We start from the raw sequence: 14,115 nt of genomic DNA, 5'->3' as shown, positions 1-14,115 counted from the left end.
AACTAATGATTCTTTGAATTTCTGCTGTAACAGTTGTAATATCTTTATTTTCATCTCTGATTTTATTTTTTTGGGTCTTCTCTCTTTTTTGCTTAGTCTGTCTCAAAGTTTGTCAGTTTTGTTTATTTTCTTCAAAAAACCTGTTTTTTGTTTCATTGATCTTTTGTATTGTTTTCTTTATTTCAAGTTTATTTATTTCTGCTCTGATCTTTATTTCTCTTCTACTAATTCTGGGCTTGGTTTGTTCTTGCTTTTCTAATTCTTCTCTTCTCTTCTTTTTTGTTTTTTTTTTCTTTTTTTTTGAGACAAGGTCTCGTTTTGTTGCCTAGGCTGGAATACAGTGGCGCAATCTCGGCTCACTGCAACCTCTGCCTCTCAGGTTCAAATGATTCTTCCGCCTCAGCCTCCTGAGTAGCTGAGATTACAGGCGCCCGCCACCATGCCCAGCTAATTTTTGTATTTTTAGTAGAGACAGGGTTTCACTGTGTTGGCCAGGCTGGTCTCAAACTCCTGACCTCAGGTGATCCACCCGCCTCAGCCTCCCAAAGTGCTGTCATTACAGGCATGAGCCACCGCGACCAGCCTCTGATTCTTTAAGATGCCTTGTTACATTATTTGCAGTTTTTCTACTTTTTTGATATAGGCATTTATAGCTATAAGCTTTCCTCTTAGTACTGCTTTCCCTGTGTCTTATGTTTTTTGGTATGTTGTGTTTCCATTATCATTTTTTAAAGAAAATTTTTGATTTCCTTCTTAATTCCTTCATTGGCCCACCGGTCATTCAGGAATGTGTTGTTTAAATTCTATGTATTTGTATAGTTTCCAAAATACCTTGTTATTAATTTCTCCTTTTATTCCACTGTGGTGAGAGAAGATACTTGATATTATTTCAGGTTGTTTTTGATGTTTTAAGACTTGTTTTGTGACCTAACATATGGATGATCCACATGCTGAGGAAAAAAATGTGTATTCTGTAGCTGTTGGATGAAATATTCTGTAAATATGTATTAGGTCCATTTGGTCTATAGTGTAGATAAAGTGTGATGTTTCTTAGTTGATTTTCTGTGTGTAGTGTTGAAGTCTCCAGCTATTATTTTATTGGGGTCTATCTCTCTCTTTGGCTGTAACAATATTTGCTTTGTATATGTGGGTGCTCCCAGGGTTGAGTGCATATATATTTTAAATTGTTATATCCTCTTGTAGAATTGAACTGTATCATTATATAGTGTCCTTCTTTGTCTCTTCTTACAGTTTTTATCTTGAAATCTATTTTGTCCTATATAAGTATAGCTGTTCCTGCTCTTTTTGGTTTCCATTGGCATGGAATATCCTTTTTTATCCCTTTATTTTCAGCCTATGTGTATTTTTACAGGTGAAGTGTGTTCTTGTAGGCAACAGATCATTGGGTATTTTTTAAAATCCATTGAGCCCCTCTGTCTTTTGATTGGAGAGTTTAGTCCATTTACATTGAATGTTATTATTGATTAGTAGGGACCTACTCCTGCCATTTTGTTATTTGTTTTCTAGTTGTTTTTTGGGCTCGTCTTCTTTCCTTCCTTCTTATCTTCCTTTTAATGAAGGTGATTTTCTCTAGTGGTATGGTTTAGTTTCTTCCTTTTTGTTTGTTTGTTTATCCATTATATGTTTTTTGGTTTGTGGCTCCCATGAGGCTTGGAAATTCTATCTTAAAACCCATTATTGTAAGCTGATAACAACTTTACACTGTTTTTATAAACAAAGAAAGAAACAGGCAAAAAGAAAACTAATAAAAATTCTACACCTTAACTTTGTCCACTTTTTAGCTTTTTGTTGTTTCTGTTTATATCTTATTGTACTATGTCTTGATATGTTGTTGTAGTTATTTTTGTTGCTTCAACATTTAGTCTTTCTACTTATAATAAGAGTAATTTATACACCACAGTTACGCTGTTATAATATTCTGTATTTTTCTATGTACTTACTGTTTTTAGTGAGTTTTGTACCTTTAGAGGATTTCTTACTGCTCATTCATGTCCTTTTCTTTCTGATTAATTACTTCCTTTAGCCTTTCTTGTAGGACAGGTTTGGTGTGGATAAAATCCCTCAGCTTTTGTTTGTCTGGAAAGTTTTTATTTTTCTTTTATGTTTAGAGGTTATTTTTTCCATTTATATAATTCTAGGGTGAAAGTTTTTTCCTTGAGCACTTTAAATATTTCATGCTACTCTTCTCCTGGCCTGAAAGATTTCCACTGAAAAGTCTGCTGCCAGACATATTGGAGATCCATTGTATGTTACTTGTTTCTTTTCTCTTGCTGCTTTTAGGATCCTTTCTTTATCCTTGACATTTGGGAGTTATTAAGTGCCTTGAAGTAGTCTTTTTTGGGTTAGATCTGCTTGATATTCTATAACCTTCTACTTGAATATTAGTATCTTTCTTTAGATTTGGGTTTCTCTGTTATTATCCCTTTGAATAAACTTTCTACGCCAGTCTTTCTCTCTACCTCCTGTTTAAGACCGATATCTCTTAGATTTGCTTTTTTTGTAGCTATTTTCTATGCCTTGTAGGCCTGCTTTATTCTTTTTTATTCTTTTCTCTTTTGTCTCCTGTGACTGTGTATTTTCAAGTAGCTTATCTTCAGGCTCACTAATTCTTTCTTTTGCTTTATCAATTTTGCTATTAAGAGACTCTTATGCATTCTTTAGTATGTCAGTTGCATTTTTTGACTCCAGAATGTCTGCTTTGTTCATTTTAATTATTCCAGCCTCTTCATTAAATTTATCTGATTGGAGTCTGAATTCCTCCTGTGTTATCTTGAATTTCATTGTTTCCTCAAATCAGCTATTTTGTGTTCTCTCTCTGAAAGGTCACATATCTCTGTCTTTCCCGGATTTTCCCGATTCCCTGTTTAGTTCATTTGATGAGGTCATATTTCTCTAAATGGTCTTGATGCTTATGGATTTTCGTTGGTGTCTTGGCATTGAAGAGTTAGGTATTTATTGTAGTCTTTGCAGTCTGGGCTTGTTTGTACCTGTCATTTTTGGGAAGGCTTTCCAGGTATTTGAAGGGACTTGGGTGTTGTGATCTAACTTTTTAGTCACTGAAGCTGTGTCCACATTAGGGGTCACCCTAAGGCCAGTAACGCTGTAGTTCTTGCAGCCTTGTAGAGGTACCATTTTGGTGGTCTTGTATAAGATCCAAAAGAATTGTCTGCATTACCAGATGGAGAATCTTGTTCTCTTCCTTTACTTTCTCCCAAACAAATGGAGTCTCTCTGTGCTGAGTTGCCTGGAGCTGGGGGTGGGGGGTGGGTGACACAAGCACCCCTGTGACTACCACTGCGGGTATAGCACTTGGTCAGATCTTAAGCCAGCAGAGCAATGGGTCTTGCCCAAGGCCCACTGTAACCACTACCTGGTTACTGCCTATGTTTGCTCAAGGCCCAAGGGCTGTACATTCAGCAAGTGGTGAAGCCTGCCAGTACTGGGTCTTTCCCTTCATGTTGGCAAATTCTCTTAGTCCCTGGGCGGGTATAGAGATGCTTTCTGGAGCCAGGGCCTGGAGCCAGAAATGTTAGAAATATACCTAGTGCTTTATTCTACTATGGCTAAACTGGCACAGAAATAACAAAACAAAGTCCTTCCTACTCTTCTCTTTCTTTTCCTCAGGCAGAGGAGCCTCTCTTCGTGGCCACCACCAGGACAGGCCCGCAGAGAGTACTGCCAGTGTACCGCCAGTGTTCACTTAAGGCCTAAGGGCTATTTAGTCAGCTTTTGGTGAATGCTGCCAGGCCAGAGACTCACCCTTCAGGGCAGTGGGCTCCACTCTGCCCCAGGCTCAGTCCACAAATTCCATTCAAGAGCTAAGGCCTGGAATTGGGGACCCAAGAGCCCGTTTGTTGCTTTTGTCCGCTGTGGCCAACCTGGTAGCTACACTGCTAGATAAAGTCCCCTTTACTCTTCCCTCTCCTTTTCTCAAACAGGAAGAGCCTCTCTTTGTAGCCACCACAACTTCTAATAAGCTGGGTCTCACCATAACCTAACACATTTCTGTCTAATCCATGCCCCACAATGTGTACTACCTGGTTATTGCTGCTGATGATTCAGGGCCCAAGGGCTCTTTGGTCAGCAGGTGATGAATCCTGCCATGACTGGGTCCCTCGATTCAAGGCAATGGGTTGCCTTCTGGCCCAGGGAGCTAGGGCCTGGAATGGGGGCTTCACGATTCTGCCCAGGGCCCTGTCCTACTGTGACTGAGCTGGTATCCAAGTTGCAAAACAAAGTGCTTTTTCTCTTCCCTTTTCTCTCCTCAAGTAGAAAGCAGAGGTCTCTTTTGGAGCTCTAAGCTGCGCTACCTGGAATTGGAGGAGTGAGGAGTGGTGGCATAAGCACTCTCTTAGCCGCCCCAGTGGTATCTGACTAAGTCAAGTGCCCCCATTTTACTGGCTCCAAGCCCTTTACAGCACTAGGACTTGCCCAGAAGTTGCAGTCCTTGTGGCCTAGATAGCCTTTCAGTTTTATTTAGGGCCCCAGTGCACTTTAGCCCACTGTGGCGTGACTTACTAAAACTCAACTTCTGATCACTGTGATGGATGATTCCCCTCTGGTTTGGGCAGGTTTATATGCTCCCTTCATGTGTGTAGGCTGAGTTCCAATTCAAAGTCCTATGATCACTGCACTCTCCTTCCCGCAAGTGCACTGATTCTCTCCCTATGACACGTGGCCACTTCTGGGGGTTGAGGTAGCAGTGGCATTGGCGATTCAAGATTGTCTTTCCCCTTCTGTGCCTCTTTCAGTGATATGAAGTTAAGATCAGGTACTATAATTGCTCACCTGATTTTTGTTTCTTATGATGGTGCTTTTTTGTGTAGATAGTCATAACATTTGCTGTTTATGCTGGGAGGTTGATCAGTAGCAGCTTCTATTCAGCCATCTTATTCCACCTCCTTCCCCAGTACTGCCCTGATTGAATGAGTTGGTATTTGTTCCTGTTTCTGTTTTTTGGAATTGTTTGTAAAGCATTGAGCTTAATTATTTAAATGTTTGTTAGAATTCAGCATTGAAGCCATCTTGGCCTGGGCTCTTCTTATAGGTAGTTTTTTTTCTTTTTAGTATTATGGTAAATATATATATAACATAAAATTTACTATTTTGACAGTAAAAAGGCAACCTACCATATGGGAAAAATATTTGCAAATCATACATCTGATAAGGGGTTAATATCAAAAATACATAAAGGATTCCTACAACACAACAACAAAAATAATATGATTTAAATATGGGCAAAAGAGTTGATAGACATTTCTCTAAAAATGATATACAAATGGCCAAGAAGCACATGAAAAGATGTCTAGCATCACTAATCCTTAGGGAAATGCAAATGAAAACTGTAATGAGATACCACCACACACCCATTAGGATGGGCTACTATGAAAAAACAATAATGAGAGTTGGTGAGGATATGGAGACATTGGAACTCTTGTGTACTGTTGGTTAGAATGTAAAATGGTATAGCTGCTGTGGAAAACAGTGTGGTGTTCCTCAAAAAATTAAAAATAGTATTACCATGAGATCCAGAAGTACTACTTCTGGGTATATACCCACAAGAATTGAGTTCAGGGTGTCAGAGAAGTATTTGTATTTGTACGCCCACATTATAGCAGCATTATTCATGACCAAATCATGGAAGCAAGTCAAATGTCCATCAACAGATAACTGGATAAACAAAATGTGGTATATACATACAGTGGAACATAATTTAGCCTTAATAAGGAAGGAAACTTTGACACATGGTGGAACATGTATGAATCTTGAAGACAATATGCCAAGTGATCTAAGCCAGTCTAAAAAGGACAAATATTACATGATTCCTATTATGAGGTTCCTAGAGTAGTGAAATTTGTAGAGACATAAAATAGAATGGTGTTTGCCAGGGCCTGTGGGTAAGGGGAAATGGGGAGTGTGAGAGAACAGATAACTCCACGGGGCTTCCCAGAGTGCTCCATGTTGTATGGGGATTATGTCTGTCTCATAAATATATGTATCATTGGAGACAGGTTCATTACTACCCATTTTTGTATACTCTTTGTCTAGCACCAAGCTAGACATGTAGTAGGTCCATAGTAAATACTTGTTGAACTGGTAAGGGAATAAATTACCCTTATCTGTAACTTCCCTAGTTTTTTTATACAGAGAATGATGCTCTAGTTAGGCATTTTCCTAGGTATATACTTGCACTTTTTATCTTTCTCATTTCCCCGCTTTCTTTGTTTCTAGAGTGAGTTTTTGGCATATCTTTAACATATATATGTGTAGTATATATGTGTATTTTTACATTTGACTGTAGTTAAATATAAGCTTAAATATATTTTTTTTCTATTATCACTATACATTTTATTAGATTCTATGTTCTGGCAGTTTTTCATTATTGAAAAGCCTATGTTACAAAAACATACCAATTTACTACCATCAATAAATGGAAAATGCTTATCTTAATATGTATTGTAACTACATTTTCTTCATCTTTAATGGGTAAAAACAGTTGTCATTGTTTTCATTAATAATTTTTTGACCACTAGTAGGGTTGTACTTCTTTTATATGCTTGCTAGTTTATTTCTGATTTTGTAAATTATCTTTAGCAAATGTTTACTAATCAGATTGGTCTGCCTTTGAGTTACTGCTATTACCACTACCACTACCATTACCATTACCACTGTGTATTGAGCACTGAGCAAGATTTAAGGGGTACTACAGGAAATCATGGTGTAGAAGAGGAACAGACACATATATTATGTGCCATAATAGAGGCAGGTGTAATTTGTCATGGGATCTTGAGTGATAATATTAAGAACTCAGTAAGCTTTTAATTACCATGTGACAGGCACCATTCTAAGTAGTTTTTAAAATATTATCTCATTGAATCCTCATAACAACCCTATGCAATAGGTACTCTGATTATCTTCATTTTACAGATAAAGAAACTGAGGCACAAGGAGTTTAATTACTTGCCATAAGTGAAAATGTTAGTAAATGGTGAAACTGAGATTAAACTCAGGGAGTGTCACTCCAAAGTCTGTGTTCTTAACTACTAACCTATAATGACTCTATCAGTTTTTAAGTGTTGGATTCATCGAGGTGGTATTAGAGATATTCATTTGCATTATAATAAAAGGTGAGTATGTTGAAATGCTTTTTAAAATAGTCATATCATTTTCCATTCATTTATGATTATTTATTTTAATAATTATCCTGTTCAAGTGAACAATTAATGCAAATGTGACTCCAGCCTCTTACCTTTTTATGCAAGTATCCATCTCAAATTCTTTTTTTCTTGGATGTGTATGCCTTTTTTTCTAATTGAAAAAAAAATCATAAATAAAATGACTTTCATAAGCATTAATGAATTTTTAACAAGGAAATTCTGGGTTTTCTATATCAGTGAAGATATAGGTAAGAAACATGGAAAAGCATCTTTTTTTTAACTAATGTACTAAATTTAAAGAGCTTGCTGGAAAGACATAAGTAAATCTCAGTTTTGTTAACTGTTTTATTTTAAGGCTCTGGGGCATGATAGAATTTTGCTTGGATTGGAAATAGTAGCATTGTGTTTACAGTTAAATAATTAGAATAGAAATTATGTATGATAAAATATAAAAGTGTCATAAGCCCTTAATCTCTTGGTATTTTAGTATCAATGCAAGTCTTGGGTAAAATTTCACCTCACTTCTTCCTGGTGTAGATTAAAGGAAAAAAAAAACTTAAACTCACTGTCTAAAATTGACATGTCATATCATTAACTCATAAAGTCGTACTCCTTTACACACACACACACACATACACACACACCACATTTGAAATGGAAACGTACACTGAAATTTGCAGCTACCCCATAGAATAATTTTTGGCACATAGTAGGCATTCAGTAAAGATTTGTTCAGTGAATGAATAAAGGCATTCTTTATCTCTCATTTTTATTTGATCATTATCAAGTTGTTGATAAGGAGAAAAACGTGGCCATTTACAGATATAACTTAAAACATGCCTCATGAGCGAAATGTAAGTTTAATCATATTCTTTTGACAGTTTTAAGGATTCTAATCAAGGAAACCCTTTTAAGAAATTCTCATGTAGATGAAATAGGCTTTAAAAATACCTGTGCTCATCACTATCTATTTGAATGAAATCTGTGGTTAATTTATTTATAATGTAATGACTCCTTGATTAAGAAAAGTATATAATGTATTTTGCTATACAAATAGAATATATATAACCCACTTTTAAATGATGAGCAAGGTGGAAAATCTGTTCTTACCAGTAAGCAGAGCGATATATCAAATTCCTTTTGTGTTCTTTTGTTAAATTTTCAGGTGAGGGGAAGTGGCTTCGAAACATTGACTATTACCGTTTAGATGGTTCCACTACTGCACAGTCAAGGAAGAAGTGGGCTGAAGAATTTAATGATGAAACTAATGTGAGGTAGGAAAAATTTTCTGTATATGTAGAAACATTAAAATAATTAATTTTAAAATTTACATAAAGTTCACTATTTTTATTGTGTATTTGAATGTTTTTAGCAAATGCAAGGTACAGTCAGGTTGCAAAACAGTGTCATCACTCCCTAACCACTGAATTCACTTATGGAATCATATAATTTGTAGCCTTTTGAGTCTCACTTCTTTCACTTAGTGAGATTTATTTGAGAATCATTTACATTGTTGCATATACCAATAATTTTTAAAAATTGTTGTATAGTCTTCCATTATAGGGCTATATCACAGTTTGTTCAGCTACTTCCACTTGAGGGACATTTGAGTTGTTTCCAGGTTTTGGAATTAAAATCAAAGCTGCTCTAAGCTTTCATGTTCAAGTTTTTGTGTGAACATAAGTATTTACTTAAATGAAACAAAAGCCTAGGATTGTGATTGCTGGGTCATATAGTAAGTGTACATTTATCTTTGTAAGAAACTATCAAGCAGTTTTCCAAAGTGACTGTACAATTTTTCATTCCCACCCGCAGTTGTATGAGAGTTCCAGTTTCCTTACATTCTTGTCTGTACATGGTATTGTCATTTTTTAAAAAAATTATTTTACTCATTCTAATGTATGTGTAGTGGCATCTCTTGTGATTTTAATTTGCTATTCCCTAATGATAAATTATGTTGAGCATCTTTTCATGTGCTTATTGACCATTTTAATATCATTAACTGTAGATACAAGGCAATTTGTGTGTGTATTGATATTGTTTTAAGCTGTTAGTAATTGACAAAATCAAGCTACATTTGGAAAGAAAAAGTTTTATATATAGTCATATGTTGCTTAACAACCAGTATACATTCTGAGAAATGCATCATTAGGCAATTTTGTCACTATGCAAATATCATAGAGTGTACTGTACATCAGTAGGCTTTCTGTGATATAGCTTATTGCTCCTAGGCTGCAAAACTGTACAGCATGTTACTGTACTGAATACTGTAGGCAATTGGAACACAATGGTATTTGTGTATGTAACATATCTAAACAGAAAAGATACAGTAAAAATATGTATTATACTCTTATGAGATTGCCTTTGTACATGCTGTCTGTTATTGACCAACACATTATGTGGCACATGACTATACATACATCTAAACATATGCACATACGCATACGTATACACATACACAAACATAAGAAAGCATGGCATTTAAGAAAAGGATAAAGGAGATGGGGTTAGTTTAGTAGAAAGATGGCTGAAGTATGCCTTAATAAATATTTTAAACTATGGAGAATATTATACTGTGTGTTTAAAACATGTTTTAATTTTAGCAGCATCATGAACTAGACCTAGGCTTAAGGCTAGAGAAATTTCAGTTACATTTTAGGAAGATTATTAATTATTGAAAACCCGTAGCCTAAGAGAGCTTACAAAGGGATGATTTGAGTATAGTTAAATTATAAATGTATATGATTGATTATATAATTGTTTAAAGAATAAATACATTTTTATATTCTGTGTTTTTCATGTTTAAACAAATTATTATTTGTACATGAGTGTGAAGAAGTAATTTTATTGAGTAACTCAAATTTCTCAAACATAATCTAAACCTTTGGCTTGCTAGGTTTCCCAAATTTTAAAATACGACAGAGGCATATAATCTGTCACGTGACATTTATACTTGATGACTAGTAGGGAAAAACATTGAAATGTAGATGTTGAGCTGTCAGCTTGGCTTACTCACTAGTGAATTACCCCTAAACATATGCCAAAAAGCATGTCATTCAAATTCATGCTTCAGGCATATACTGGTTGAGTATTTCTTATCCAAAATGCTTGGGGGTGCTAGGGACCCGAAGAATTTCAGATATGGGATTTTTTTCAGATTTTTGAATATTTGTATTATATTCTTACCTGTTGAGCATACCAAATCTGAAAATCTAAATCCAAAATGCCCCAATGAGCATTTTCTTCGAGTGTTACGTTGGCACTCAAAAAGTTTTGGAGTTTGGTGAATTTAGGATTTCAGACTTACAGATTTGGGCTGTTCAACCTGTACATGTATATTATGGATTTGGGGAGTTGCTCTTGAGTAGCTGAACCCATACACATGAAATCCACAGATGTTATGCTGTCTCTCAAAATGCACAAACAAACAGAAAATGAAACAAAAAACAAAATGAAAAGAGCAAGGAAAAAATCCACAAATGTTTTAGATTATATCTCTGTAAATTCTAATTTTTCATGACTCAGTAATTTTCAGTAAATAGGATATAAATATAATCCTTGTTTATGCCAAAGCAATCTGAAAGACACATTAAAATAAACTTTAAGATAATGACCATTTGTAACGTTGTTGTTTTGTGTGACCTGGAAGTAGTTTTCAGCAGTCTCAGAGTGCCTCGTTAGCTTGATACTATTTTTGGTTTGTTTCTCTTTTAATTTAGAAATGATTATAGATTCACCTGAACTTGCAAGTACAGAGAGGTCCTGTGAACCCTTTACCTAATTTTCCCCAATGGTTAAATCTTATATTTCAATATCAAAACTAAGAAGTTGACAGTGTTTCAATGTTTGCATATATCTTTTTTTCCACATATACACAATCAAGATACAGAAATATTCCATCACCACAAAGCTCGCTCTCTCTCACTACCCTTTTATAGTCACACCCATTTTTACTGCCAACCTTGTCACTAACCTTAACCCCTGACAATGACTAATTTATGCTCCATCTCTATTATTTTATCATATTAAGACTGTCATATAAATGGTATCATTCTCTATATGTGACCTCTTGAGATTGGCTTTTTTCAGTCAGCATAATGCCCTTGAGTTCCATCCAAGTTGTCACATGTATCAATAGTTTGTTCCTTTTTATTACAGAGTAGTATTCTATGGGATGGATGTACCACAGATGTTTAATCATTCACTTATTGCAGGACATTTTCATTTTGTCCAGGTTTGGCTATTATAACTAAAGCTGCTGTGAACACTGTGTTCCAGCTTTTTGTGTGGACCTAAGTTTTCATTTCTCTAGGATAAATGCCCAGGTATGCTGTGGCTAGGTCATATGGTAAGTACTTTTTTAGGAAACTGCCAAACTCTTAATTAGAATGGCTGTACCATTTTATAGTCCTACCAAGCAGTGTGTGAGAAATCAAGTTTCTCTACATCCTCACCAGCATTTGCTATTATCACTGTTTTTTATTTTAGGAGTTCTGATAGGTATGTAGTGGTATCTTATTGTGGTCTTAATTTGCAGTTCCCTGACAACCAGTTATATTGAACATCTTATGTGTTTATTTGCCATCAAATATTGTATATCCTCTTGGGTGAAAATCTCTTTATGTCTTTTTGTCCATTTTCTTATTGGATTGCTTGTTTTTTTATTGTAGGGTTTTGAGAGTTCTTTATATAATCTAGATATGTGTCCTTTGTCAGATATATGGTTTGCAAATACTTCCTGCCAGTTTATGGCTTGTCTTTTCATCCCCTTCACAGGGTCTTTCAGAGAACAAAGATTTTAATTTTGATGAAATCTAGTTTGTCAATGTTTGTTTCTTTGTTTTGATCATGGTTCTGATGTCAAGTCTAAGAACTCTTCCTCAAAGCCCTAGGTCTTGAAGACTTTGTCCTGTGTTGTATTTTACAAGTTTTATAATTTTACCTTTTATGTTTAAGTCCATGTTGTATTGAGTTAATTTTTGTATAAGGTGTGAAGTTTAAAGGTTCATATTTTTGGCTGTGGATGTTCAATTGCTGCAGCATCATTTGTTGAAAAAAACTATCTGTGGCAGTGCACAGTGGCTCATACTTGTAATCCTAGTGGTTTGGGAGGCTGAGCCCAGGAATTCAAGACCAGCCTGAGCATCACAGCGAGACCCTGTCTCTAAAAAAAAAAAAATACCCAGGCATGGTGATGCACACCAGTACTCCCAGCTACTCTGGAGGCTGATGTGGGAGGATCACTTGAGATCAGGAGGTCGAGGCTGCAGTGAGCCATGATTGTACCACTTCACTCCAGCCTGGGTAACAGAGGAAGACACTGTCTCAAAAAAAAAAAAGAACGAAGAAAAAACCATACTTCCTTTACTGAATTGGTTTTGCACCTTTGTGAAAAATCAGTTGGCTATACTTGTTTTGGGCTGTTTTTCAGTTTGCTATTCTATTCCTTTATTCCATATGTCTTTCTCTGCATCATTACTACATAGTCTTGATTACTGTAGCTGTGTACTAAGCCTTAATATCACATTGAATGATTCTTCCCACTTTGTTCTACCTTTCACAGATTGTTTTAGCTATTTTTATATGAATTTTAGAATAATCTTGTCTAGACCTACAAAAGTTTTGCAATAATTTTAATAGGTATTGTATTAAACCTATTACTAATTTGTAGAGAATTGATATCATTTTTCAACTGTAATACTTTTAGCAGCAGAGAATTGATAACTTTATTGTTTTCTGATCAGTGAACACAGTGTATGTCTCCATTAGTTGATCTTTGATTTCTTCCATCAGTGTTTTGTAGTTTTCAGTATACAGGTCCTGTAGATCTTTTGTTAGATTTACACCCAGGTATTTCTCTTTTTGAGTTATTGTAAATGTTACTGTATTTTTAATTTTTGTTTCCATGTGTTCATTGCTCAAATATAGAAATGCAATTGATTTTTGTGTTGATCTTTTGTCTGTAATCTTGCTGACTTCATTTGTTCTAGGAGTTTGTTTTATAGATTTCTGGGGATTTTCTAAGTAGATCATTGTACTATCCACAAGGAGGGATAGTTTTATTTCTTCTTTTATGATCTGTATGCTGTTTGTTTCCTTTTCTTGTCTTGCTGCAAGAAAAGTCTCCAACTATAATTGTGAATTTGTCTGTTTCTCCTTTAAGTTATGTCAGGTTTTGCTTCCGATATTTTCAGCTCTGTTTATTATGCATGTTTAGTATTGCTATGTCCCTCCCTATACCTCATACTAGTTAAAACTTAAGAGTAATATAGTTAGTAGCAATGGTGAGAGTGGACATCCTTACCTTCTTCCTGATCTTAGGAGAAAAGCATTCTGTCTTCATTAACTATGATGTTAGCTGTAAGGTTGTTTTTTTGGGTGGGGGGGTTGTTTTTGTTTGTTTTTGTTTTGAGACAAGGTTTCTGTCTATCACCATGACTGGAGTTCTGTGGTGTGATCATACCTCACTGCAGCCTCGAACTCCTAGGCTCAAGGGATCCTCCTGCCTCAGCCTCTTTGAGTAGGAATGCACAGCCATGTTGTACTTTTTTTGTAATTACTCTTCATCAAGTTGAGGTGGTTCCCCTCTATTCTTAATTTTCTGAGTTTTTATGACGAATAGGTGTTTACATTTGACAAATGCTTTTTCTGCCTCAGTTTGTATCATCTGTTATTTCTTCTTAATCTGTTAATATGGTGTGCTATGTAGATTGGTTTTTGAATACTGAACCAACTTTTCATGCCTGGAATAAAACTCCACTTGATCGTAAGGATAATTCTTTTTATATAGTACTTGGTTCTGTTTGCTAATACTTTGTTGAGAGATATTTATGAGAGTTACTCTTATATATTCAGTTGTTTTCGTGTTGTCATTGTCTGGTTTTGGTATCAGGTTAATATCGACCTCATAAAATAAGTCAATAATTGTTTTCTATTT

At 35.4% G+C, this 14,115-nt stretch overlaps 1 protein-coding gene across 9 annotated transcripts in view; it reads left to right on the top strand.

Annotated features, from left to right (window-relative positions):
- ATRX (ATRX chromatin remodeler) overlaps positions 1 to 14,115 on the top strand; it is a 281,337-nt gene that overhangs the window by 203,515 nt on the left and 63,707 nt on the right. For all 9 annotated transcript variants that reach the window (XM_005262156.5, XM_005262157.6, XM_006724666.5 and 6 more), the window contains one exon: positions 8,344 to 8,452. In XM_005262156.5, coding sequence (XP_005262213.2) covers positions 8,344 to 8,452 — 109 coding nt within the window. The remainder of the gene's footprint in view (positions 1 to 8,343; positions 8,453 to 14,115) is intronic.

This window comes from Homo sapiens, chromosome X, assembly GCF_000001405.40.
Source record: "Homo sapiens chromosome X, GRCh38.p14 Primary Assembly".
In the NCBI taxonomy this organism is placed as follows: Eukaryota; Metazoa; Chordata; class Mammalia; order Primates; family Hominidae; genus Homo; species Homo sapiens.
This window is presented reverse-complemented; position numbering and strand designations above follow the sequence as displayed.